Source organism: Homo sapiens, chromosome 3 (assembly GCF_000001405.40).
Source record: "Homo sapiens chromosome 3, GRCh38.p14 Primary Assembly".
NCBI lineage: Eukaryota > Metazoa > Chordata > Mammalia > Primates > Hominidae > Homo > Homo sapiens.
In genome coordinates, this window is record NC_000003.12 from 109,089,719 (window position 1) to 109,117,590 (window position 27,872).

At 39.2% G+C, this 27,872-nt stretch overlaps 1 protein-coding gene and 1 long non-coding RNA gene across 9 annotated transcripts in view; one reads left to right on the forward strand and one right to left on the reverse strand.

Moving 5' to 3' along the window:
* MORC1 (MORC family CW-type zinc finger 1) overlaps nucleotides 1-27,872 on the reverse strand; it is a 159,887-nt gene that overhangs the window by 131,471 nt on the left and 544 nt on the right. For 5 of the 8 annotated variants that reach the window (XM_047447968.1, XM_011512692.2, XM_011512693.2 and 2 more), the window contains exons 2-8: nucleotides 24,666-24,719; nucleotides 21,031-21,065; nucleotides 14,131-14,199; nucleotides 10,699-10,789; nucleotides 9,640-9,748; nucleotides 5,191-5,350; nucleotides 3,712-3,823 (exon numbers count right to left, since the gene is read on the reverse strand). In XM_047447968.1, the coding sequence (XP_047303924.1) occupies nucleotides 3,712-3,823; nucleotides 5,191-5,350; nucleotides 9,640-9,748; nucleotides 10,699-10,789; nucleotides 14,131-14,199; nucleotides 21,031-21,065; nucleotides 24,666-24,719 (630 nt within the window). Of the gene's footprint in view, nucleotides 1-3,711; nucleotides 3,824-5,190; nucleotides 5,351-9,639; nucleotides 9,749-10,698; nucleotides 10,790-14,130; nucleotides 14,200-21,030; nucleotides 21,071-24,665; nucleotides 24,720-27,872 lie in introns of those variants that run through there. The other 3 variants (NM_014429.4, XM_005247362.3, XM_011512694.1) reach the window with 2 other exon arrangements.
* MORC1-AS1 (MORC1 antisense RNA 1) lies at nucleotides 11,738-20,622 on the forward strand. The gene is made up of 3 exons (NR_144461.1): nucleotides 11,738-11,841; nucleotides 20,046-20,131; nucleotides 20,251-20,622. It is a non-coding gene; the product is annotated as an MORC1 antisense RNA 1 (long non-coding RNA).

A 27,872-nucleotide genomic window follows, 5' to 3' on the forward strand; every position in this document is an offset into this window, starting at 1 on the left:
TAAACACACCTAGCCCAGCCCTGAAGAAACATCTTGTTTTCTGTCATTAGCCCACTTTCATTTTCTTCACTGTTCAGTATTCTTGTCATTACCCCCACCCTTTGTTTCAAACTCTTGATTTTCTTTTGATTTTTTACAAAGTTATTTTTTGTATCTTCTTCCCTTTCAGAAAACACTGCCTAAGTTTACGGCGACATATAAATTTAAGATAATTTTTACCCTGCAAATTCAACTCACTTTCTGCATATAGCCCTGGAACCTATGTATGATTCCCTGGCACTCTCCGTAAGTCATATTCACAATTTCAAAATTCAATTTAATATTTCACACATAAAATGCAGACTTGTGTATCATGTGCATTCTGAAATTCTGATGACTGCTATCTATTGGAAAAATTTTTTTTAATTTAAGTGGAAACAGGTCACCTTTAAACTGATATTGCCAAACCACAGGCCACCACTGTTCATGTGCTTGAACATCACTTCTACTGAAATTCTCTTGACGTGATTGTCATCTTGAAAGAAAACCCTGCCACTGGTCTGATTACTGCTGTTAGTGCCTCAGCCCAAAGCAGAATGATAAAAGGTTTTGAATCCTATGTTTAAAACTGTTGTCAAAGCCGGGCGCAGTGACTCACACCTGTAATCCCAGCACTTTGGGAGGCCGAGGTGGGTGGATCACCTGAGGTTAGGAGTTCAAGACCAGCCTAACCAACATGGTGAAACCCCATCTCTACTAAAAATACAAAACAATTAGCCTGGAGTAGTGGCACATGCTTGTAATCCCAGCTACTTGGGAGGCTGGGGTGGGAGAATCATTTGAACCCAGGAGGCAGAAGTTGCAGTGAGCCGAGACTGCACCACTGAACTCCAGCCTGGGCAACAAGAGCAAAACTCCGTCTCAAAAAAAAAAAAAAAAAAAAAACACGATGTCAAATGTTCACAAGGACTATGTGAAATAAATAATGCCAAAACACCTCTTCCCTGAGGCCAATACGGCTTGAAAGTTTGAATTTTCACATTCCTACACAGAAAATTAAATTATTTTCAGAATCAGCAGGACTCTAATATCTAAGACCAAACCTGAAAATTACATAGTTTCAAGATTTGAAAATTGTTTTGGACAGCTGTACAATCCTACCCAGTAGAGATAAGGGGATACAATAATCACCAGGAAAAGAAATGGTAAAAAATGTGTTATATTATAAACTGCACCAGATTAGAGGTTCAAATATCAGAAGCCATAAATGAAAGAGGACTCAGAAAAAAGACCCACCTTGGACCAGAACTAATCCTTTAGGACTAAGAATTTATGTCTTTTCTAGTCTCTTACTGAAGAGTAATTGGATATTAATGTTAGAACCCATGGGACCACACCATTATCCATAACCTTGTGTGGTAAACTATGTACCATTTTTTAACAAGTTAAAAATACATGTATGTTGGCCAGGTGCGGTGGCTCATGCCTGTAATCCCAGCACTTTGGCAGGCTGGGGGAGTAGATCACCTGAAGTCAGGAGTTCAAGACCAGCCTGGCCAACATGGTGAAACCCCGTCTCTACTAAAAATACAAAAAATTAGCCGGGCAGGGTGGCACATGCCTGTAATCCCAGCTACTTGGGAGGCTGAGGGATGAGAATCGCTTGAACCCAGGAGGCAGAGGTTGCAGTGAGCCAAGATGGCACCACTGCACTCCAGCCTGGGCAACAGGGTGAGACTCCATCTAAAAAAATAAATAAATAAATAAATAAATAAATAAATAAAAAGTATGTTCTAAGTTTAAAGGGAGCTTGGGAGTGATGGGGAGGAGACAGTAGGTCAAAATCAACAATGAAGTGGAATTAAGGGCAAATCTTTTACAGAAAAAAACTACAGAGGCACTGCTACCCCCGAGGAGGTGGTGATACTATCCCTTCTTGGCACCATCACAGTACTCGTGTCAGAGGCCATGAAATATATCGCGTCCTCAGTTCAGAAACTATGAATCCTCTTTACAGTGATTCCTCCTTATAAAATCCTAGCCCTGTCTTTAAAGGCTTTTCTTGTGATTAAACTAAAAAAAAATTTTTGCTGAAAAACAAATTAGAAAATCCAGTGTGATCTATGTGCCAAAGTGAAAGTGTACATGTTTTAGGTCTGATTCATTTTCTTTATTTTGTAATTAACTGCCTAAATGGCTAGAGAAGCTCTGGCTTCATTACACAATCTGGAAACAGCAAGAACATCTTTCCAAAGATGTAGCTGTCAAATTATCCCTCTAACAATGTATTGTTTTCTAATGCCAGTGTAGAAATGCCAAGGCACTCTGACAGATAACTGTTTCAAAATGCTTTTAAATAGCATGAAATATCGGTTTTGGAACCAGCTGGCAACTAGAAGGGCAGAGGCAGCAGGAAAAGGGGAAGATAGTAATAGAGATGCTGAAAATTCTGGGACTCCTTTCTGACACCGGCATATTAATGCTGGCACAGTGGTTCCCAGCATTTGTGGAACAGCCATTAGGCTGAATATTTTTTTCCAAAAGAAAAAAAATCCCTCCATTTATGTGTATATTAGGAATTCTACATGTTGGAATACGAGAAAAAACATACAACAGCAATAAGGAGAGAAGGTAATCTAAAAGTGTGTTATCAAATAGCTATTTGCTAACTGTGGAAAGAAATTTCTAAATTTCACCTCATTGGGAAAAGCAAAAGAAGTTCTCTGTAACCTGACATGTCTACTTGGGTCTTAACACCTTAGTCTAAAAACATATGGTAGCTACTGGCCACCTGTGGCTATTGGGCATTAGTCCAAATTCATATGTGCTGTATGTTGCAACACACACACTGGATTCAAAGACTTTGGATTTAAAAAAAAATACAAAATATCATCAATATTTTTCATATTGAAATTTAAATGACAATATTTTAGATATATTGGATTAAATAAAATCATTATTAAAATTAATTTCACCTATTCTTTTTACTTTTCTTAACATGGCTACTAGAAAATTTAAGATTAAATATGTCCCTCGTTGTGGCTCTCATTATATTTCTATTGTACAACACTGAAATACAAAATAAATCGCACTGGATTAAATTACCTTTACAATCTCTTCTAGCTGTAGTATTCTGAGACTAAAAAACTGCAGGCTCGAGCTAAGTTGTAAGTAACACTGTTATTTTAGAGAAACCTAGCTTTTGTTGCTATTTCATTCTTTCTCCACGCTTTTTCATGCAGAAAATAATGATTAAATTGCCACTTGGTCATATTCCTTTTTGCTTCACACTATCCTAATGTCTGTCCATTTTTAATGATCTGTAATGAATAATAAACTCTGCAGGTTTTTTTCAGTTTTAATATCTACAAATTAGGAGTCAAGGTATTAGAAAGCTTTAGAAGTCTTATATTCCAGTGGTCCCTAAATATGCTGGCACCTCTGAATCATCTGGGGAACATTTGAAAAAGACTGATTCCTAGGCTTGGTATCTGGACATTCTGACTCAGCAGGTCAAGATGAGGCCCCAGACCCTGTACTTCTCAAGAAACATCCCAGGGCACTCTGAAGCTTAAAGTTTGGAAACCACTGACCTAGCCCAACTTTACTAGTAACTAGGGTAAGATGAATTGTCCCAGTGCTAAAACCCAGTGACCTCAGACCTGGAGCCAGGATGCAGGGCTCCTAACTCTAGCTCACCACCATTGTTGAAAAACATTCTGTCAAACACACACATACTCCTCCAGAGCTCCAGCCATCAGTATATCTTCTTTGTCAGTTTTAACATCCAACTCTGGTTCTCCATTAAGCAGAAGCTTCAAGTTATAAATAACCAGCAAAGTACCTGGTAGAAAAATAGATGTTTGACTTGTCAGTATTTTAAATACACTAAATGCTAGTCATTGTGCTATCATTTCATCTATGGAACTGAGTCTGCTATAAAATTTTCTTTTGTACTTCAGTAAATAGTATGTTTGGCTAACTCTTTGGCTAAGCCAAGATATGTCTTCTAGCAAGTTTCACTCCCTGCCAAAGAGTGCTGAGTTTCTACAGTATGGTGCCTCTTATTATAATTCAATTCATTACAAGTCTTTCAATGTGGATTTTTAAACTTTGGCACTCTTTTCATAATTTGCATTATGAAATTTGTTAAGAGCCTGAGCCAAGCTTGTGTTATAGGTAAAGCTCTCATTGGTAGTACTGAATTTAACACACATAAAAACAAAGAAGGGTTTTTAAACATTGTACAAATAAGAAATATTGTTTTCATACACTATAGCAGGTGCTGGTAAATTTTTTCCATAAAGGGCCAGATAGTAAATATTTTAGGCTTTGCAGGCCATACGGTCTCTGTTGCAACTATTCACAATGTAGCTCTGCCACTGAAGCATGAAAGCAGCAATGGAGAATACATAAATGAATGAGTGTGGTTGCGTTCCAATAAATCTTTATTTACAAGAACAGGTATGGGGCCACATTTGACCCGAGACCATAATTTGCTGACCCCTGCTCCAAGGCATGATTAACAAAAAAAGTCCAAATTATTTCCAGTTGATTATGATACAAAGTCAAACAGGATCATTAGAGTAATTAAGAGGACAACTAATTATACTTTTTGGTAGTTCTTAAACACAAGGGAGAATAGCATAGTAGCTAAGAACATGGGCTAAATGGCTGTGTCTAAATCCTGGATCAACTGTGCCAGTAGACACAGTGCATTCGACGTGTTGAACAGAAAGTTGGTGGAGGTGGAAAGAATGGGGAAAAGATCTGTTAATCTGGAGAAGAATGTCTGCAATACTTTTGCTAACTCTTTGCCACAGAGACATTAATTCGTTATTTTATAAGTTGCTAACTCTCTTACATACCTGTTATCACTCTATCTCAAATGATGCAATAAGTGTCTCCTAACTTTGCTATCTAGTGCAGCGACTGTGGAGTCCCTGTGGTCATAGCCTGTATCATCCTCTTCTTACCCAGTTTCACCAAGCTCATGCAAGTACACATCCTTCTCCCAGTGTCAGGGATTTACAGTAATTTGTTTGGATGCTCTTAAGACAAAGCTCATATGGATAAAATAAATGACTGTCCCCAGTGTGAATCCACATGAGATTATAAGAACAAAAAAAATGAAAACATATGTACAGTGTCTTTGATAAGACACTGAAAACAAATACTTCCATCAAATTGTCAGAGTTTTGATGATCTTACCACATTTTCCATAGATCACATCAAACTGCTGCATCAATTCTGCTTCAGTTTTAAATGGGGAGTATTTATAAATTATAGATAATTCCATTGCAAATTTCTGGGGATCATCTGTGACAGATTCTCTGGTTCTTATTAACCATGAGGGCATTGGAACTACAACCTATTTAAAAAAAAACACATCAATTTACTATGAAATACACAAAAAACATTATTCTTTTGTCTTATCTATTTCATTCCACTCTTCATCTAGACAAATTACAAAACACTAAGTTAAAAGTTCATTTTCCTCCTATAATCTAGTTGTATAAGAGACACATAACAAATGTGTATAGACAGGATTGTATTTTAAAATACTCCATTGTGGAATATGGGAACAGATGGAGTGTACTTCAACTCCCTCTTGAAGGGTAGAATGGCAGAGGAAACAACAGAATCAGCATTTTAAAAGTTGAAAAGCAGATGACAGCACACGCAAGAAAAGCAATCTAAAGCCCAAGCCAGAAAGCAGAGCCAGCCTGACTTGCAATTCAGAATTCCTACACTGTAATTCTCAGGGACTGATGGCAGGAGTTAACTCTAGAGTTGGGGTAGGGGGAGAAGAGAACTATAAGTAGCATTTAGATCCCCATCAGCAACAGCTCCTCCTCAACCCCCAGGGTCTGGATATTTACCCTCTGGAAAGAGTAGAACAATGGATTTCTAGACTGGAAGACATACCAGGCACTGCTCTTGTGGGCACCTTACTGAGATTAGATAGACCGAGTGAAAGTATACTTAGCAGATGCTGAGATCTTCAGATCTCGTTCCCATTTGTCTCCCAGAAGCTGACAGGTAGGTCTGTAGGCAGAAGACTAGGAGTCTTCCTTGAAAAATCTGACCAACCCAGAAGGAAAGACACAAAGACAATTACATTAAGGATTCCCCAATAAAAAAAAAAGCTCAGTTAGATCACATTATTGTGACAATCATAGCAGCCAGGCCCCACTCACAGTCTCAGAGCTTGCACTCGTCATTTTACTGGACTTATCTTTAAAGTATTCAGGAGTAACGGCCATCTAAGAAAAGCCTCTAATATGATAATAGAGAACAAATAATTATAAACAAAGTAACTCAGTGAAAACAGAAACCATAAAAAGATGAAAACTTCAACAAGGCAAAAATCAATTATTGTTAATATCTTCAGAGTTATAAGAGAAAATACTGTATCCATGAAACAAGAACGAGATATTTTTGAAAAAGAAACATTCAGAGAATAAGAAAGACTTCTTGGAAATTAAGAATATGATTACAGAAAAAAATTCAGTGAAAGTGTCAGAGGTGTCTGAATCAGAGTGACTCCATCTTGAACAGGGGCTGGGTCAAATAAGGCTGAGACCTACTGGGCTGCATGTTCATGTTAGGCATTCTTAGTCACAGGATGGGATAGGAGGTGGGCACAAGATACAGGTCACAAAGACCCTGCTGACCCAGCTTCACTAAGAAGCTGGCCAAATCCCACCAAAACCAAGATGGTGACCTCTGGTCATCCTCACTGCTCATTATATGCTAATTATAATGTATCAGCATGCTAAAAGGCACCCCTACCAGTGCCATGACAGTTTACAAGTGCCATGGGAATGTCAGGAAGTTGCCCTATATGGTCTAAAAATGGGAGGAAACCTCACTTCCTGGAATTGCCCACCCTATTCCTGGAAAATTCATGAATAATCAACCCCTAGTTTAGCATATATAATCAAGAAGTAACTATAAGTATACTCAGTTGAGCAGCCCAGGCCACTGCTCTGCCTATGGAGTAATCATTCTCTTATTCCTCTACTTTTTTCTTAATAAACTGCTTTCACTTCACTCTATGAACTCGCCCTGAATTCCTTCTTGCACAAGGTCCAAGAACTCTCTCTTGGGGTCTGGGATCAGACCCCTTTCTGGTAACAAAAGGGTTCAAAAATAAATATTAGAACAACTCCCAGAAAATAAAGCAAAAATATAAAACTCAGAAAACAGGAAGGAAAGGCTAAGAAAATTAGAGAACCACTTCCAGAATACAATAGCTAAAAAACAGGAGTTACAAAAGGATAGAAAAGAGAATATGAATAGAAGAAAATCATCAGCTATTACAAGAAACTATCCCAGAATTGAAGAATATGAGTTTCCAAATCAAAAAGACCCAGCAAGTGACCAGCACAATGGGTGTAAATAGACCACGCAAAGGCAAAACACTTGAAATCAGAATACTGAGACAAAGAAGATTATTTTGACCTTCAAAGAGTAAAGGCAAGCAAACAAACAAACAAAAAACGAATGGGTCACATATAAGATTAAGTAATTAAATGGCTTGAGACTGCTCAATAACAACACTAGAAACTAGATAATGAAGCAAAACCTTCGAAATCCTGAAAGAAAATAAATTCCAACCTAGAAATAATATCAAGCCCAACTACCATTAAGTGTTAGGGTAGAATAAAAACCTTTTAATGCATGTGAGGTCTCCAGATATTTTGCCCCCTATGTTCCTTTGCTCAAGAAGTCACTGGAGAACATGCTGTACCAAGGAGAGAGAGCAAGCTATGGAAGAAGATGTGAGATCTAGGATCTCAGAGATGACACAGAAGAGAGGGGAAGGGAATCACCAAGACGAGGGCAAGGGCAGATCACAGGATGGCAGCTGAACACCACCATGGAAGCAGGAGTGTGAGCTGCAGCACAGGAGAAAGCCCTGAGCAGACTTCATCAGGAAGATGGGACTGAGAGGACAGCACTTTGAGACTGGGGTTAACACAGTGACACGAACACAGAAAACCAAGCAAATATTCAGTGACAGTAATACACATAAAAAACTAAGCAGTCAATGATTAATTTTAGGGGAAATAAGTTGTACATGAAAAGGAAAAATAATAGTTGATGGCTTGGTATAATTTGAACAGTGTTTATAAAGTCTTATAAAGTAAACACTGAATATTGTCATAGCTAAAATTACAATAAAGCTATGTTGAGGGCGGGGGATGAGAAGACTACGATTATATGATAGAAGCAGAGAAAAAAGGTAGGTAAATCCTCTTTTATAGTGGGAGGTTAATAGATAATGCCTAGATAAAATCAAGAAGTAGCAATACAGGCATGCTATTTAGAGATACATAGGTAAATATCAAAAGAACAGGCCATTTATTTTTATTTTTATTTTATTTTTTTGAGACAGGGTCTCACTATGTTGCTCAGGCTGGCCTCAAACTACTGGGCTCAAGTGATCCTCCCTCTTCAGCCTCCTGAGTAGCTGGGACTACAGATGCACTCCACCGTGCCCAGCTAGAACTTGTTAATATTGTTGTTAAGAGGTTGTCTCTGTGGAAGTAGAAATGGGAAGTGGTTGCTGTTTTTAGTTTTTTTTAAAAAAGGGAATGGCCCATTTTAAGAAAGCTATAATTAAGGGTTAGCCCAATTTTCCATGCCCTTTACACACATAACATGCAACATAAATGCTTACAGCATCACTTTTCCTCAGGTCAGGCTCCCACACGGCTTACTCCTTTTTACCTGCAGACTGCTCCTGTCACCCAGCTCCACCCACTGGCAGTCTCACAGTCCTACACCGTCCATCCAAACTCCATATGCATCTCCAGGTCTGAGACTTGCTGAGGCCATTAATCTCCAGTACCAGCTTTTCCGGCTGCAAGTTGTACTCTCTCCATAAAACCCTCATTGGGCACTCGAGGCCCTCTATCTCTCCATCCATATCATTGCTTTTGATAATCTGGTAACAGTAGCCACACAGACTCATTGAGGAGCATTCTTTTTAAATACCCTCACTTTTTTATCCAATTCATATGTGTCTACCTTATTTTGTGATAAAGCTGAAGACTCTTAGATGGCCATATGACCTTCTGCTTCTTTTCTACCTTCATAGAGTCTATCCAGTACTAGGCAGAGAGTAGTTCCTCAACATGTATTTGTTATATTGAATTATAACTGACAGCCATAATAATAAAACTCAGGCACTGGTAATTAATAAAATGCCTCTGGATCAGCAAATGGAGTTGAAATTATGGTCACCAGAGTTACAGTTTTAAGTCTATTTTGCATTAATTTCTTTACATTTTGTATTCCAAGTCTTTGACTCCAATATTTTATTTATTTTTAAAATGATAATCAATTTATGGCATATATGGTGGAAAGATTTTGCAGGTTTCTTCTAAAAAGCTCATCATGTCTAAGGGAGCCTCTTACTTTGGGAGATTTGAGCACATGGATAATGAAAATGAAGTTCTCAGGAAAGGGTCAAGAGGACAGGTCTTTGATGTCCCCAGAATGTCTTGATACCTTCTCTCCATTTCCCAAACATATTCCTAAGTTTCTAAATAATATCAGAAAGAACCCATGACAAGACTTCACCTCCTGAGAGAGTAAATGAAAGCAACATCATTGCTATGGGAACAGAAGGAAAACTTCAACTCTTACCTCACTAAGACTTTCTTCTTCACAGAATGTCTGAGAAAAAAACACACAGGTCATCGTTTCTTCCTTCTTCGTAAAAAGAATAAAGTCTTTTCCAATTCTCATGGACCCACTATATTAAAAATGAAGAACATCATGTTTTACACCTCAAATACTAAAAAGGAAGAAACAGGCAGACTGTTATCACCGTGTACTGTAACAGGATGTTCTTTCCAACACTCTGTTCTGCTGACCCGTCATCAAGAGGGTACAATTTTTTTTTTTTCAAAGTAAAGCAGAAGAATTTGAACTAAGCCAGCTCCACACTCTTGCTTGAGGTTTGGCTGCAGGGGAAAGGGTCCATTCAGGGCTCAAAAGAACAATCATCTGTCTCAGGTAGGAGCCGTACAAGTGAGCCTCATGTCCTGACCTTTCAATGCAGCATACTAAAACAAAGAGCTGCAGACACAGCACCTAGGTTAAAATATGCTTTGGGAAACAACAGAACATAGAGATGCAACAAAGCACTAAAGTACAGGGGTACCGCTTCAGGAATCTTTGAAAGAGGATTTATTTTATTATTTGGGAGAATTAACCTAAAATGTTGTAAAGATAAAAGTCAGTTATGGGCCGGGCGTGGTGGCTCATGCCTGTAATTCCAGTACTTTGGGAGGCCGAGGCGGGCTGATTACTTGAGGTCAGGAGTTCGAGACTAGCCTGGCCAACATGGTGAAACTCTGTCTCTACAAAAATACAAAAATTAGCTGAGCATGGTGGCTCATGCCTGTAATCCCAGCTGCCCAGGAGGCTGAGGCAGGAGAATCACTTGAACCCAGGAGGCGGAGGTTGCAGTGAGCCAAGATCGCACCACTGCACTCCAGCCAGGGTGACAGAGTGAGAATCTGTCTCAAAAAAAAAAAGTCAGTTTTGTATATGGAGATTCCAACACAAAGTAGGTCACCCCTGCCTCAAGTTTATATATTTTTTAAAGCTTTACATGCCTGCATCATTCTGTGTAAATTGCTTTATAAACAGTGTTCCCAGTATCAATAATATATGTCTTAAGGGAAAAAAAATTCTCACCTTTTAAGACCATTGCCGTATTGCCCTATGAACTTCAAGGTTGACAGCCGTTTTTTGGATCGTCCAAAGTAAATGATGTCTGAAGCTTCCTCTGTAATTGACAGTGACTTTTAAGGTGGTTAGGAAGACTCTTTGACACTGGCCTGAGGCCCAGCTGTCAGGACCTCACATTCCTCAGAACATCAGGACAAACCCATAGCTCTTGGGTCAGCCCAGAGACAAGGATTTTCATCAGAATCCACAGTCTCTGACAAGGGTCTTAATGGTATTACAGTCAGCCCAAGGTACGGCAGGCTCCACATTCATAGACTCAACTAATCTTGGACTGAAAATATTCAGAAAAAAATAAATTGCGTCTGGACTGACCACGTACAGACTTTTTTTTTGTCATTATTCTCTAAACAACAAAGTATAACAACTATTTAATAGCATTTACACTGCATTGGGTATTATAAGGAACCTGGAAAAGATTTAAAGTATACAGGAGGATATATATAGGTTATACGGAAATACCGTGCCATCTTCTTTCCACAGCTTTTGGTATCCTAGAAAGGTCCTGGAATCCATTCCCTACAGATACTAAGAAACAACTGTATACTGAAAGAGATGAGACAGACCTAACCATGTGGCCTTAGGTAGAGTTTAAAAGTCTGAGCCTTAATTTCCATGTGGTGTAAGAGGCAACTACGTAATACTTATATCACGGTGTTGCTGATGAAGATAAATGAAACAAATGAAATGAGATGATGTATTTGTGAAATCCTGAACACAAAACTTGGCACTTGGTGGGTGTTACCAAATTACAAGTGTTATAATTACTTGTACCACTAGTAATTTCCCCACGAATTTAGCCCTTAACCAGGCCCATGTGAGACTAAGAGGGGCAGGATGACCTCTGCTCTGATACTACCTGGGAAAGAAGGCTAACCATTTCAGACGTTCCAAATCATTCTCCCGACCTCTCCAGGTATTCTGGAATTCTAGACAGTAATCCTCTGGACTTCAGAATATATTAATACCAATCTCCAGAACCAAGAATGTTCTTCTTGTTGGCCTACCTGAATACATGCTGAAGAATTGTCCTGAGGACCCTCTGTCAGTCTGGGTACAGATATGCTATAGTTCAGTGGCACATGGTATGAGGTGTGTAAAAGCCACCAAACATTCTGCTTCTCTGAAACTAACTGGACCTCCTATGATATGTTCCTATGAGGGGTTAGGCATTAGGTAAGGATATCCATAATGACAATCTTAGCTAACACTTATTGATTGTTTAGTATATGCTAGGTACTATGTTTATACTTACATGCACAGCTTATTTAATATTTATAACAAAACAAGAAAGGTATTATTACTATGACCTGCATGTCACAGATGAGCAAATGTAAGTCTAAGGAGTTTTAAAAACCTGCCCAAGGTCACAGAGCTGATAGAGGGTACAGCTAGGATTATAACCCAAAGTTCTAAGTCTTGGTACAGACATGGTATAGCTCTGAACCAAATCCCATGTGTTCATTACACACTACATGAACTCACGTGCATGGTTACCCGGTTCTGAGCATGGGAATAAACCACTGAACAGGCCAGGCATGGCTCCTGCCTTGGACAACACTATGTCATGGTAGGAGAAACAGATTGAAAGTAAACTAATAAATAAGATCATTTCTGACTGAGTATTAAGTGAAGAAAACAAAACCAGGGTAATGCGATAGAGAATTAACAGGAACGTGGCCTGCAGACAGAATGATCAGGGAAGGCCACTGGCAGATGGTTAACATGAGATGGATTCAAACGATGAGGGGTCAGCCATGTGTGGGTGGAGTGTTCTAAGGGAGGAAGTGGGAAGAACAAGAAAAGGCCAAAGAGGTGCATAGGGCCAAATAATGTAAGGTCTTGGAAGAGATGCTGAGAGTACAAATTGTATTAAGTAATGGAAAACCACTGAGGGTTTTCAGCAGGAAAATGATATTAATGTACATTTTCAGCAGGAAAATGTACATTAAAAGAAAGAAAATCACTCAGGATGCTGTGTGGGGAATGGACTATAAAGGGGCAAGACTAGAGAATTTTTTAAAAACCCGGAAAGTACTGTAGTCATTTTCTATGGGTCAAGATTGATCTAGCTCCGTTTGAACAACGGATAGATTCTACTTTTAGTCATCTTCCTTCTACTTTATTACTAGTTGATGCTACTATGTAACTGAAGTGTGAGTTCCTTCTGAAGGTCTGAATATCCGTCACTTGTCTGTGTTTCAAACATTTTGTTCATGACCCATATAAAAAGAGTTGCTTCTTTTCATAAGGAATTCCCTTAGAATATATCACATATATTCTGTCATTTATTTTAGGAATTCAAAAAAATGAACTTAATATTCAGGCTAGAAGTGAAAAATTACTTTTTTCAGCATGGGTTTTTTCTGTTGTTGTTACAAACTCTTCTTTCTCATTTAAACAATAAAAGACCAAGAATACTTTTAATCAAAATGACCTGGAAAAATCAAAATTATCCGAAGTCAGAACAAAACTGGGTGAAACAGTCTTTCTAAACTTGCTAATACTCTTCAACTATTCAGACCAAGGGGAAACTTCAGAGCTGAAATAAGATATTTGCCATACCTCATATCTTCAGCTTCTATCAGCAAATCAATATTTGAGCATACTGATGCATCCTTTCCTCAGTTGTGGAACTGACCATGGCAGTTCCATATTACTGAACTCTCACCATTTTTTAAATCTAGTGGTCAAAAACCCTGGCTTGTGGAACACACCATGTTTAAAGAATTCAGAAATACAATACCTAAAACAACCCAATGCCCTCAGATGGAATCACATTTCAATTTCACAGCACACAGACACTGTATACCCATAATGTGCTGGCTTTGTGCTAACCTTGAATACACAAAGATAAGTCATGAAATATATTGTAGATGTATTCTTTATGATGGGAACATTCATTTGAAGCAAGTAAAGCTTTCAAAATGCAGAGGAAAAAACAAGGCTAAAAACAAGGAGAGGAAACCTCTACCTCGAGGTTAAGCAAAATTAAAAATAGCCTACAGGCACAGGAAACTGCCTGGGGCTCTCACAAGCAATACCTAAAGGATGAGCTAAAAACAATCTCAGAGTCTATTCAGTGACTATTTGTTTTCCATTCATTCCCAGATGCTTATTTCTTACAATCAGTAACATTTGCCTTTCATTTTTCTGACAATATTAATATACATTTACTTTTTGTCTTGGTTTAGATGGTTACAATAAATTTACTCTGCCAGCTGGGATACTTAAACCTAAAAAGTTCAACAAAAAGTCTGGGGCTTACTTTCTTTAATAGCTCCATACCTGTTTTTGCATAGATAGCTCAATTTATTTATTTTGTAGGTTTTCAGACTGTTTCCTTTAACAGCCAGTTAGGTATCTAGATAATTAACTTACCAGGGCTCATGCCACATCCATCATCCAGGAAACACAACATGAATCCCCCCTGCAGTTTTTCATTATCCACTGTAAGAGAAAGCAGTTATTACTAATAAATATCGGGCTTAATTTGTTAGTCAGAAAGTCATGCTGCTAGAATAATTATTCGTCTTCCTCCAATGCAGCCACAGAGTGACAGAGTTATGGCACAAAGATGGAGCCTAGAGTGGAGTCTTGGCTACAGCTTCACAAGAAACTGCAGGGGAAAAATAATCATGCAACATAAAGGCTTTAAATTAACACAAAACATCTACATGTGAAAAAATTATGTATACAGCAGGACATGTTCTGCTCTGCAACTGGACTAGTCCTTTAAATGTCAGGCATTTCCTCTCTGTGGGGAGGGAAAAAGGTAAATGGTGAAGTGACCCCAGGATCCTTTGCTCAAACTGACCAACCTCTGTGCCCTTCCACCAAAGCACAATTATAAAATAAATCTAGGCCATTCTTATTAAATCCATCAGGCTCCCTTCTAAGTAGTTAATTCTCATAAGAGCCATTTGTGAGTGCATCTTCATGGGAGCAAATACTTACCTCTTCAAGACGCACTTAATTTTTGAAAATGGCTAAGTTATTTGAAATCAATTTTAATGATTTGAAGATATCATTAAATTACATAACATAATATTTGGTTTACAAAAATGTTGGAGGTAGGCTGGGTGTGGTGACTTATGCCTATAATCGCAGAACTTTGGGAGGCTAAGGCAAGAGGATCACTTGAGGCCAGGGGTTCAAGACCAGCCTGCCCAAGGTAGTAAGACTTTGTCTCTAAAATAAATTAATAAAGTTAAAGCTGTAACTAAAACTAATGAGACTAATTTTAGTGCCCAGTTTGTAAACTGGCCCTGAAAATGATTTCAGTAGTTGGACATAGGAGTTCTAGCACATTTCTCTTTCTTAAATGACAGTGTTATTCAGGAATAATTTATGCACAATAAACTGCACATGTTTAAAGTGCACAATTTGACAAATTTTAACACACACACACACACACACACACACGTATGAAATCATAACCACAGTCACAGCAGCGAACATATCCACACCTCAAATGTTTCCTCCTGACCCTTTGTAAATCCTTCCTTAGGACCCTTCCACGTCCCATCACCCTCACCTTACCCTCAAGCAATCACTGATATGCTTTCTGTCCCCATAGATTCATTTCCAGCACATTTATTAAGTCAACTTCTCTGTTCAAAAGTCACTTAGAGACTGGATGTGGTAGCTCACGCCTGTAATCCCAGCACTTTGGGAGGCCAAGGAGGGAGGATGGCTTGAGCCCAGGAGTTCAAGACCAGCCTGGCCAACATAGTGAGACCTTATGGCCACTAAAAATTAAAAATAAAAAAATAGGCTGGGCACGGTGGCTCATGCCTGTAATCCCAGCACTTCGGGAGGCCAAGGTGGGCGGATCACGAGGTCGAGAGATTGAGACCATCCTGGCCAACATGGTGAAACCCTGTCTCTACTAAAAATACAAAAATTAGCTGGGTGTGGTGGCGTGTGCCTGTAGTCCCAGCTACTCTGGAGGCTAAGGCAAGAGAATCTCTTGAACCCGGGAGGCGGAGGTTGCAGTGAGCCCAAATCGCACCACTGCACTCCAGCCTGGGCGACAGAGCGAAACTCCATCTCAAAAAAAATAGCCAGGCATGGTGGCACATGCCTCTAGACTTGGCCACTTGGGAGGCTGGAACAGGAGGATCACTTGAGCCTAGGACTTCAAGTTTGCAGTAAGCTATGATCACACCACTGCACTCCAGCCTGGGCAACAGAGAGAGACCCTGTCTCAAAAAAAAAAAAAAAAGTCACCTAGAATTAATATTTTAAAAAGTAAGTAAGTTTCAAGACAGCCCATGAATACATACTTATAAAACATACTTAATCTTTCTGGGTTTATAATTTCATGGTGATGTGCCCGCTTCTAATCCCCTCTTCTCTCCAATTTACTTCTTTGTCTGTAAACTTTTAGGATCCGGACTACCATTTCATTTTCCCAGTTCCTTCTCTCTACCTAGTCCTATGGTCTGCTTACCTCAACTTCTGTGTCAGGACATTCCTCCTCTCCCCCTTTAAAGTACTTGTTCTGTTTAGTCCTCCCTCAAAGGCTGATATTTCCTCACTGTTTAATGAGGGGAATCCAACCCTGTTGAGTTCTCTGCATAAGGCAGTAGCTCTCAATCTTGGTTGCACATTGAAATCAACTAGAGATATTCTAATGTAACTGGTCTTGGATAGGGTTCAGAAATTGGTATTTTCTCGTAAAATTTCCCTCAGTTATTCTAATGTTCATCCAGGATTGGGAATCACCTGATGCAAAACCACGTTCAGCCTCGGGCAGCTCTGCATGGTAGCCACAGCTGATTTGCACTTCTTTGTAAATATTTCTCCTAGAAGGAGCTTGCAGAAAGAAGGGTATTCCTTCAGTAAACGGCTGGGAAAGACCAAAGATTCCCATCAGACATATACTACAGTATCTCCTTTTTTTGTAAATCCATATTAGGAATTAGAGACAAATAAGTATAGCCTCAAAATTTAATAATCCCCCATTATCCACTCTGAAACCTGGCCTTGTTTATTTCAATTCCTTAAAACTATGAATTTCAGGTATATTTTATCACTTGTTAATTACGCGTGTCCAAAACAAAACAAACACCTCCTCCCACGTTAGACTTTCTCCTCCTCCTCGTTTCCTGTTCAATAAATGGCATCACCCTGCCCCTAGGCTTCAGCTGTGCAAGTCAAAACCTCGGATCATCATTATGTTCTCCATCTCCTCACCCCTCACACGGGCAACCATCTGGTCCTCTCAATTTCACTGCCTTAATGACTCCCATTTGACCACTTTCTCTATCCCCAGTATACTGCCTGGGGATACAGACACCATCTCCTTTCTGGATCACAACAGCGCCCTACCTTCTTGCTCTCCCTACAGTCACAGGGTGCAGCCAGTCTTCCATCAGTCGTGCATTTCACTGCTCTCCTGCTTCAAACCTCTCCATGGCTTCCCAATGCTCTCAGGATAAAATCCAACCACCTAACAAATCTTGTTTGCCCTCCATGACCGGGCCATCTGGATAACTCTCCAAGCTCATTTCTTGTCTTTCCCTCACCTGCCCATACTGCCACCTTCCACTCCTGCACAAACACTCCCCTTGAACAAATCTTAAACATCTCAAACATTTTTTCTACATTCTCTCCATATTCCAGTTGCTGCACATAATGCCCTTCCACCCTTTCCACGCTTCACTCACCAGGCGAATGTCTATTTTCTCTTTCAATTAGTTCATATCAGACTTCTTTTAGGAAGCCTTTCCTAATCCTTCCATGTCATTAGTGCCCATAATTAATGACCCCTTTATCTCTGTTTTTGTACCTTTGTAGTATATTAAAATACCTGTTCGTGTATCTATTTGTCTTTTGGACCAATGGTTCCTACACTTTTTTGGAACACAGTTACCTCAGAGATATAAGGAAAGCTATGGACCCTCTACCCACCAAAGTACAGCTACATACTACATTTTTCATGGGCTCCACACTAAAATGCCAATTTCTTAAGAGTGTAAACGCAGCACCTAGCCCAGTGCCTGGCATTTAGTAAGCACTAAAAAAAAGTACCGAATGCATATCCATGTTTACTGGAACTAATACACACAAACGTATAAAACACCACGGGAAACATATTTCATTTGAATTTTATAGCCTTCAAATTAATTAGTTGACAGAAATTTAAGATTGACAATAATTCGAGGCCACAGTAAATAATCTGAAAACTAGTCCAATCTTAGATTAACTTTGTATCCCCAGAATAATCCTATGTATTGATGCATAAGCATTGTCCCTGCTTTTTTTATCCATTTTTTTAAGAAAATCAGTTTGCTAGGTTGATAGCCATAAGATGGCTTGCCTCAATAAAAAATGAACAGGTAAATCAATAAAAACATGAATAGGTAATTTTAAGCTAAACTGAACTATAAGTTCAGTTTTTCACAAAATATACATAAACACAAAAAAGAAGTAAGTGCCAGCCATGCCTGGTGGCTCATGCCAGTAATCCCAGCACTTTGGGAGGCTGAGGCAGAGGGAATCACTTGAGGTCAGGAGTTTGAGACCAGCCTGGCCAACATGATGAAATCCCGTCTCTACTAAAAATACAAAACTTAGCCGGGTGTGTGCCTGTAATCCCAGCTACTGGAAAGGCAGAGGCAGGAGAATTGCTTGAACCTGGGAAGCGGAGGTTGCAATGAGCCGAGATGGTGCCACTGCACTCCAGCCTGGGCAACAGAGTGAGACTCCATCTCGAAAAAAAAGGAGAAGTGCCACTTTAATCTCAACTTGGTCAAGATCTTATTTTGTTTGTTTATGAAGATAAACTGAGTACTTAGAGAAAGTAGGGTGAAATAAACACTCTCATTCCCTGCTGGTCTCCAGTCACAAACCCCAAAGAACATAATGCGTGGATTCTGATTACATTTGTTATATTTTGTGACTATGGATAAGTCTTCTCAATCCTCCATCAATTGTGCATGTGCTCTGAATGAAAGGCAGCTTACATCTGTCTCTCCTCCTCCATTTCTAGTACTACTGCCCTATTATAATTCTCATGAAATCTTGCCTAGGTAATTCCCATAGCCATACCTCCCTGCTATCCTTGCTTTCATACTTCTCCAGACTCTCTTGTAAGGTATTTCTGGAATGAGTATCTTTCTTTAAAAAAGAAAAGAGCTCAGCCAGGCGCGGTGGCTCAAGCCTGTAATGCCAGCACTTTGCGAGGCCGAGGCGGGCGGATCACAAGGTCAGGAGATCAAGACCATCCTGGCTAACATGGTGAAACCCCGGCTCTACTAAAAATACAAAAAAAAATTAGCCGGGCATGGTGGCGGGCACATGTAGTCCCAGCTACTCGGTAGGCTGAGGCAGGAGAATGGTGTGAACCTGGGAGGCAGAGCTTGCAGTGAGCCGAGCTCGCGCCACTGCACTCCAGCCTGGGCGACAGAGCGAGACTCCGTCTCACAAAAAAAAAAAAAAAAGACCACATGTCTACTTAGAAAACTGACACTGCTCAAAGTTCTTCAGTGGTCCACTGACTGCAGAAAAAACCTTGGTATGGTATTGAAGATGCTCATTCATTTGGTTCTGACACTTAGTGCGAGTCAACCGAGCCTCAGCATTGTTCCCTGAGTGCTTTTTCACCAGACATCTGTGTGGCTCCCTCCCTTTCATCATTCAGGTCTTTGCTTGTGTGTTAGCTATTTAAAGAAACCCTCTTAGACCACCCATGAAAAGCTGTATACCCCTTCCATGGCTCTCTGTTCTCTTATCCTGCTTTATTTTTTTCCCTTTTAGCACTTATCATTGCCTTGTATATTACATATTTGTTCATTTCTGTATTGTCTATCTCTCCCCATTAGGATATATGTTCCAGGGGAACAAAGACCTCAACATTTTTCTCAGTGCACTATCCCCAGTACCTAGAATAATAGACAACAAATTATTACTGAATAAATTAATGAATCTGTGAACTAGCCTATCTCCATTTGTTTTCTCATAATTATTACCTAGACAGGAATATTCTTTTCTTCCTGGAGTATCTGACAAAAATCACATTCATATTTCAAGCTCTAGCCCCTTAATATGAGGCATAATTTCTTCTTTCCCTGTGTTCCCACCATACTCTGAGTCTCTCCTATGCAAGAGTGTTCATCTTATTTTACTCTATTGGATATGGAAGGGAAGATGACTTTTTCTCACTAGAAAGGCCCTATTCTGTGCCTTCACTCACTTTTCCCCTGTGGAGGTTAGCTCACTCACCTACTGGTCACTTAGGGAAGAATAAACTGGGGAGGCTCAGTTCTGACCCTGCATTTTCCTCCTAGGAGAGAGCTGCCTGCAGAGAGCGTGAGTCCTGATCCCTTGTCCCAGGGCAAAAGAGTTTCAGAGGAAGCCCAACTCCACTGGGCGGGTGAGTCCACGTGATCCCGGGGTCTGACCTGCAAGTCCATTTGCTCTCTCACACTAAGCTACATACTCCAGCCTAACATTTATCAGCAATAAAGGCTGACTCTTTTTCTATTTCTCAAGTTTTTCAGGACCTGGAGAGGAGAAGGAGATGAAGAGTGTCATTTATTGTTTCCTCAGTTATCTCAAGAGGTCCACGTCTATCTCTCTCATGAAGCGTAAGCACTCCTCTGACTCAGAACACTCAGTTAACTGAGGTGCTTTTTAAACAGAGATATGGATTTAGATCATGGAGCATATCCTCTCACCCGTGACCAGTAGCCAATATTGCAGAACAGCTGACAGAAATGTGGTAGGGATGCTGCGTGACTACCTGGGCATTACTCTACAGAGCTGGATCACAGAACCTAACTTCATTAGCATCATAGTCTAATGAGATAACTAGTGAGTGCAATAAATACTTGATGACTACGAATAAAGTCAGCAAAGAAAACAGATTTGGTTTGGATTTTCTAGCCCTCATACCGCACATTCACGTACACACTTTGAAACTACTAAGTTGGGAATGATGTATGCTTAATTATGAATAACCGTTAATTTAATATACTTTTTAAAAATAAAACTGTTTCTCATGGCAGGCAAATTGAGTGCTCCAAATCACTCTGATACATTCACAAAACTCTGGAAGACCTAATTTTGTAAATGGGTCCTTTAGCACACAATTTGACTCTCAGAGTATACTCTCCTCACCCTGGCTCCCCACAGGGTCACTGTACCCACAAAGCACTTAGATTACATTAAAATTCTATAGAATGTGGTTTTATTTCATGAAATAAAATACAAGCAAAATAACTACAGTCTTTCCATTAGAAGAAAATAAAAGAAGAAAGCAAATCTGCTCACCTGAAAAGACATCAAGTCTTTCAGCCCCTGCATCTCTGGAAACAATACAAAAATATTATTTCTTCAATATGAAATGAATTGCTTACATAAGGTATAACCTATTGTCAGATATCAAACAATACAAAAATCCACTTAAATTGCTTCAAAATCAATTTCTAAAACGTTTCACCGTGCTATTATATCATAAGACCTATGATTAGTCATAATTTGAGAATATGAAAAAGACTGCAACTCAGAAATGTGAAAGAAGAGATGGAATTTAGTGGGAATTACACAAAAAACTAACAAAATGGATATAATTTAAAAAAAAAAAAAAAAAACAAAAAAAGCTGGCTGGCAAATAATCCAGAAGTCATGGAATGTTTTTCATATTTTAGTTCAAAAAAAAAAGAAAAATCAAATTACTAGGTAATAGTGTACTATAAGAAGACATTTTAAAGAACATACATGGAAGGAAAGAAATCAACATGTTAATAGGAGTTTTCTCTTTGTTAGAGGTTGGAAAACTATAGCCACGGACCAAAATGGCCCATCAACTGTTTGTAAATAAAGTGTTATTGGAACACAATCATGCCCATTCATTACATAGTATCTAAGGTTGCCTCAGCACTACAGTGGCAGAGTTGAGTAGTTTCAAAGGAGACCCCGTATCCCACAGAGGTGAAAATATTTGCCATCTGGTCTTTTACAGAAAAGGATGCTGACTCCTCTTCTAGGTGATGAGAGTACTGATGAAGACTGTTTTAAAAAAAATTCTCCATTTTCTAAAATTCACAGATATTATTTTTGTATTTTTTTACAATTATTTTTAAAAGTAAAATTTTTAATAGAAAAGAAGAAAAGGCCAGAAGACTCTGGCTTCAATATCGAGGGTGTGAGAGAAAGGAGGAAGGCATAGGCAAGGAAGACTTAGCTGATGAGGAAGAAGGTAAGTTAAGGCAGGGAGGAGTCTAAAAGGAAGCTCAGTGCAACAACAGCAACTATGTAACTCTGGTGGGGAAACCTGAGCGTCTCTCCAAAGTTCCATCAGTTCTAAACCCAAAACTCCCAGACAAATCTGAGTAGGTACACTGTACTTGCTCCACAGGCCTAGAAGTTAGTCCCATATAGCTCCTTCCTCTAGCCAATTGCTGCTTCTCAGCCCTCCCTATATAGACACTCTGGAGTTACCACTGCCATTTCTTGAGCACCTCCCATGTATCAAGTAAGCACTGAATGGTGTATTTTTGAAAATTCTCTTCCGATCCTTACCATAGTTCCATAACACATAGGTATCAATATCTCCATTATATAATCATGCATTATACAAAGTACCATGTACACAATAAATGTTTAATAAATGCCACTGTACTGAAATGTAAGTTTTTAAAGAGGTAGTTTTTTCATGCAGCACTTCCACGGATTAAGGCATAAAATAATTCACCTTTATCATATATTAAGACATTTTATAATAATCTTTGTTCTTTAGCCCAGGATACTTCCTTTCTGAAGAGCTATTGTATTAGGAAGAGGACCCTAACAAATCCTTCCTATATCACCACACATTCTTCTTCTCTCTCTACAATATTCTTTTAATATCTTTCAGTTCTAATTTTTAAAACTACAGGAAATCATTAAAATATTGAATACAATGATATAAAAGAATTTCTTAGAATAACATGGGGACTTCATAAAGTTCTCCTTCGTAAGACCAACTCAGTATCTTAAGTCTGTTAAATAGCTTCTTTTGATGTCAACTACTAGCATCTAAGCAATGGTGGAAAACTCAAACGTCCATGAAGAAAGAGGGACTGAAGGGTTGAGGCTGTCCACGGGGGAAAACTGGAAATGAGGCAAAGCTGAAGGCATGGGCTGGTCCCAAGAGAGCACCTGCTACTCACCTCCAGCCCCTGATCCCGTGGAGGAATGTGGCCTTGAGGTTGCTACTTCTCCTAATCTTTCAAGGAAGGCAGAGGGCCCAAATTTTTTATTTGGTATCTCCAATATCTTAAACCTTATAAACAATTCCTTTTTTCTCCCTTCCTTTTCTTTATAAACACTGTGCAAACTTTCACTATAAGCCAAACACACATAAGACAGGCTGGACCTGGTCAAGGGGCTGCCAGCTTACAAATGCTGCTCTAAGAATTAGTTTATCGATCACATTTCTCTCAGTCCCCTGAGTCTGAAGTCAATCTTTCTTTCCCAATCAACCTCTACTACATAAAATGTTTCTTTTATTCTACTTCTTCCACATTCTGATTTTACTTGTCCTCCTTTGTTGAATGAATGAAAGAAACAACTTCAAAGGAGAAAAGACAGTTGGAAAAATAGATAAATGTGTTCTTTCAGACTTGCAGATGTCAAGTTGCTGAAAGTGGGCCCATTCAGTAGGAGGCAGGACCGATGACATAGGAGGAGCCTTGCTTCCAAGCTTTGAGCAGCAGCAACAGTAGCAACCCTAAGCTCCTTTAGGGAAGCTAATCAAAAGTGTTTATCTTTCTTGGCTTCATCCTTATTAGCTCCTTCCAAGCTGAGTTCATGGCTCTGAACAAGACTTTATTCTTTTTCTCTACTTCCCTCCCTTTTTATGATTCCATTAGCTCAACAGAGAGAGTTTCCTAAAAGGAGGAGATAACGACTTTCTACTTAGTGCAGGGCAGGAATTTCTGGATGGCTGGTTAATTGACTACACTTTGTGGTCACACTCTCAGAAGGGTCATCTCCCATCTAAGGCAAAAAATGGGGAACAAATGCAAAAAAAGCTAAAACACTGTTATCAACCAGTGGCAGGGAATTTAGGCTCCTACTGAGATCCTTGATCTAACAACTGCACATTACTTCCTGGATGGACTTTGCTTTCTAAGCAAAAGGTAGGAAAAAATCTTCTGTTATGGGGAATACCAATATAAAACACGTCAAATGCTTTATTCAATTTAACTGAAAAAAAAAAAAATGAAGCCCCTCACAAGCTCCCACAAATACACTACTGAGCAGAACTTAAACTGTTTAACGGGTTCCTTAATCATTAATACATTTATTAGAGACAGTAAAATACGACAGTGAGGTTCTGCAGCCAGACTGCCCAAATTTGAATGCCAGCTCTGCCAAATATGAATTATGTGACTTTGAATAAATCATCTAATCTCTCTATGCATCAATTTCCACACATGTAGAACTAGGATATTAATTCCCATCTCAGAGTGTAGATATAAGGATGCATGACATAATGCTCATATATAAAGTGCTTATGTATGTCTGATATATAGTAAGAGATCAATAAGTTAGCTATTTTCTTAACTATACAATTTGCTTCTACGCAGACTTCAATAAATGCCCAAATACATGTGTAAATTCTCAAGACAAGTATACACTGACATATAATTCAAAAAATATCTAAATGAATATGTACAATTAAATGGTTATTAACATAAAAACAGACTTCAAGTTTGATCATAAATTAAAATTAAATAAAGGTGAATAATTATTTCTCTCAACTATCCTTTTTCCTAGAACACCTTGATTTTATAGGAAATCAAGTCACAAAACATTCCAGATGGGAAAATATGACATGATCTTTTTATCTTCCCATGTAATTAGACAAGAGTTATGTCATGAAATTCCCTCAGTAACTGTTGTTTACAGATAAACCTTACCTTGCATTGTCCAGCAATTCAGCCAGTGCTCCAAAAAGGAAACTGTGAGTGGTGCTGATGAAGAAATAAAGAGAAAACAAAAAGTTAAACCAGGTGTGTAATCAATGTAAAAGCTTTAAGATTCTTGCAGACAAACGTTCTCCAGTTCCAGACATCTAGTGAATTAAGAAGTTACTCTAGAAACAACTCTCTCAGCACGGTCAAGATTCGGAACTAGATACCCTCCATTATGAAGCGAGGGTTAAAAACACTTTTGCCAAAATATCCTGTCCACTTCTAATAAAATAAAAATTTAAGGGCCTTAGTATCTATCATTGAAATAAACTTTGACCTTTTAATATTACTTTATAAGCATGTTTTCAAGTGAGGTTTTTCCCAGAGGATTTTTCATTAAAATTGTATTATTTAAAGACAAGATATTTCTGAAGAATACTGATCAAAATCCTTGCCTACTAAAAGGCCATAAGGCTCCATGTGCAGGCAAAGGAACTGGCAGGAAGCCCTTGCGTGCCTCACCAATCTGTATTTTTCTGCAGAATCTTTCCACCGCTGAAAAGCCTGCTCCTTACATAACCTTAAAAATGGCCTCAGGTCACTTTCTCCTGTACCCTCGAATGCCAGGTCCTCGGTAACAGAATGCTCCAGACAGCCTTCAGTATTTACAACAGTTTGGAGGGTGCACAGTTATCTGAGGGTGGAATCACACTAGCTTAAGGCTCCCATGCTTGCTTCTCATGTCCTGATGAGGCATATTTCAATCAGCAACCTTATCACAGCATTAAGGGAATATTCAGCATGCAATTTTCTTTCTATATTTAGTAAACAGGTAACAGAAGCAAGAGAGCCTCATTTATCAAAAATACATCTGCTCTTCTATACAAGAGAAAGCATCATCTGCAACCTCAGGCCACAGGACAACACTTTAGTTTAAAATGTATTTTTAAAACACACACACACACACACACACACACACACAGAGAGAGAGAATATATCCCCACATTTTGGAGTTTCAAACACAGAGGATGATTAAAAGTCTCATGAGTCAAGTAAGCTTTAAATTTTGTAATTAAGAAAAAAAACTACTAAAATGTTATTGTTACAAAAAGATGTCCTTCACCCAAAAGAAAGCCATTATAAAAATGTAAAATAGTGTAAAAGAGAAATACGATATGCTTTACAAAATCAGGACTTTAAATCACAAGCCCTTCTAGGAAATTTAAAGTACATGATTCAATATACAAAAATTCAATACATAAACAATCCTTTAGAAAAGCAACTGCAGTAATTCTGACCAAAAATGTCATATGAATTTCTGCACTAGCTCATTCAAGAGATTGTCACTGACTGCCTACCATGTGCCAATGTGTACAGGCAGGGTCTTGGATGTCCTGGAGCTCAAGCTGGTGGGGTACACGGAAAACACACAAGTAAACAAACTTATGAGGATGATATTACAGATTTTGACTGAGTGCTAACTTCATAGTAGTGATGGGAAAGAGTAACTGGTGAGGAGGGGCATGGTGGTAGGGAAAGCACCTCTTGGTAAAAGGTATTTAAACTGAGTCCTGAAGGATGAGAGAATTCACTCCCTTGCAGAGTACGGTAGAAACTTTTTACCAAGAGCAAGAGATACAAAGACCCTCGAAGCAGAAAAAGAGCTAAGGAGACCAGTGAGCTCCGCTTATGGTAAAATGGGGAGAACAGGTTGAAATGAGGGCATGGCTGGGTCATGCAGGGCTTCCTAGCCCACAGAGAAGAGCTTGTACTTGGCTGACATACAACTGGAAACCACTGTAGTGTTTTAAGAAAAGGGGCGTAAGTTGGTTTACATTTTAAAAAGCTCACTCTGGCAGCTTTCCAGGAAAATGGACCATCTAGCAGCCAGAATGGGAAGCAAAGAACCCAGTTAAGAGGCTGTCTGGAGTAGTCTGGACAAGGGACAGTGGTGGCTTGGACTAAAGTCAGTGGCAGTGGAGACAGAGAGAAATGGATGATTTGAAACATATTTAGAGAAAGCATGCACTCTGGATTGGACATAGAGGTAAAGGGAGAAATTTAAAAATCACTCCTTTTGCAGTAGGAAGTCTCAAACAAAAATCTACCTGGGCAGAGCTCAGTGGCTCATGACTGTAATCCCAGCACTCCGGGAGGCCGAAGTGGGAGGATCACCTGAGCTCAGGAGTTCAAGGCCAGCCTGAGCAACATAGCCAGACCCCATCTCTACTAAAAATTTTTTTAAAAAAAGAATTAGCCGGGCATAGGGGTGCATGCGTGTAGTCCCAGCTACTCGGAAGGCTGAGGCTGGAGGATCACTTGAGCCCTGGAGTTCAAGGCTACAGAGAACTATGATCATATCACTGCATCCCAGCCTGGGCCACAGAGCAAGACCCTGTCTCCAAATCCAACCAACCAATCTAGCTGGAGGAGCTGAGAAGTCTTCCATTTGTATCTAATTTTGTTGTTACTCCATGTCACTGTCACTTGTTAAGTTACTACACCACCAGTTGAAAATGGTACTGGGGAAGTGGCTACCACAGGGTGGTTTGGGGGAATGGAGGTTGTGAAGCAGTAGCCACAAAATCCATATAAAACTGAGGCTGAGGAATTTTTCTGAGATAAAATTCACAGTCCTTCCAGCACTGCCCTGAGCATTTTTCTTAAACTCACTCGAAACTATTATTTCTTCATTTGTCTTCCACCTCAGCTACCTTTTAACTTTTTGTTCCACCTTTTCCAGCTTGACATCATTCTCTAAAGAGAGATGAAAACTGAGTATCTGCTGAATATTGCCTGTTTAACTCTGCTATGTTAAAATTATACAGTCTGTCCCACAGAGCAAGGGTGGCCTTCCCTGGCTTTCTTTATACCTCCATTTCTGTGGTTTCAAATTTGGTACATCCCTGATATCTGTTCCTATATTTAGTAAATCCAAATTACCAAAAGATGTCAAAAAAAAAAAAAAAAAAAAAAGAAACATAAAGAAAAACCCGGACGTTCCACTGTGAATTAAATAGCACTAACTGCTATAATTTGCTGTATGGGAAATGGCAGATGAGAGAAAAAACCTCTGTCATTCCCCTCTGCAATCTGACTATCTGAAATGACACCTGAGAAGCTCTAAAAGGCAGACAGGCATGGCAGAGAAGAAGAAATGACCAAATAACTAAAAGGTGAGATTCCTATCCTTAGAGAGGTTACATTTTTGAA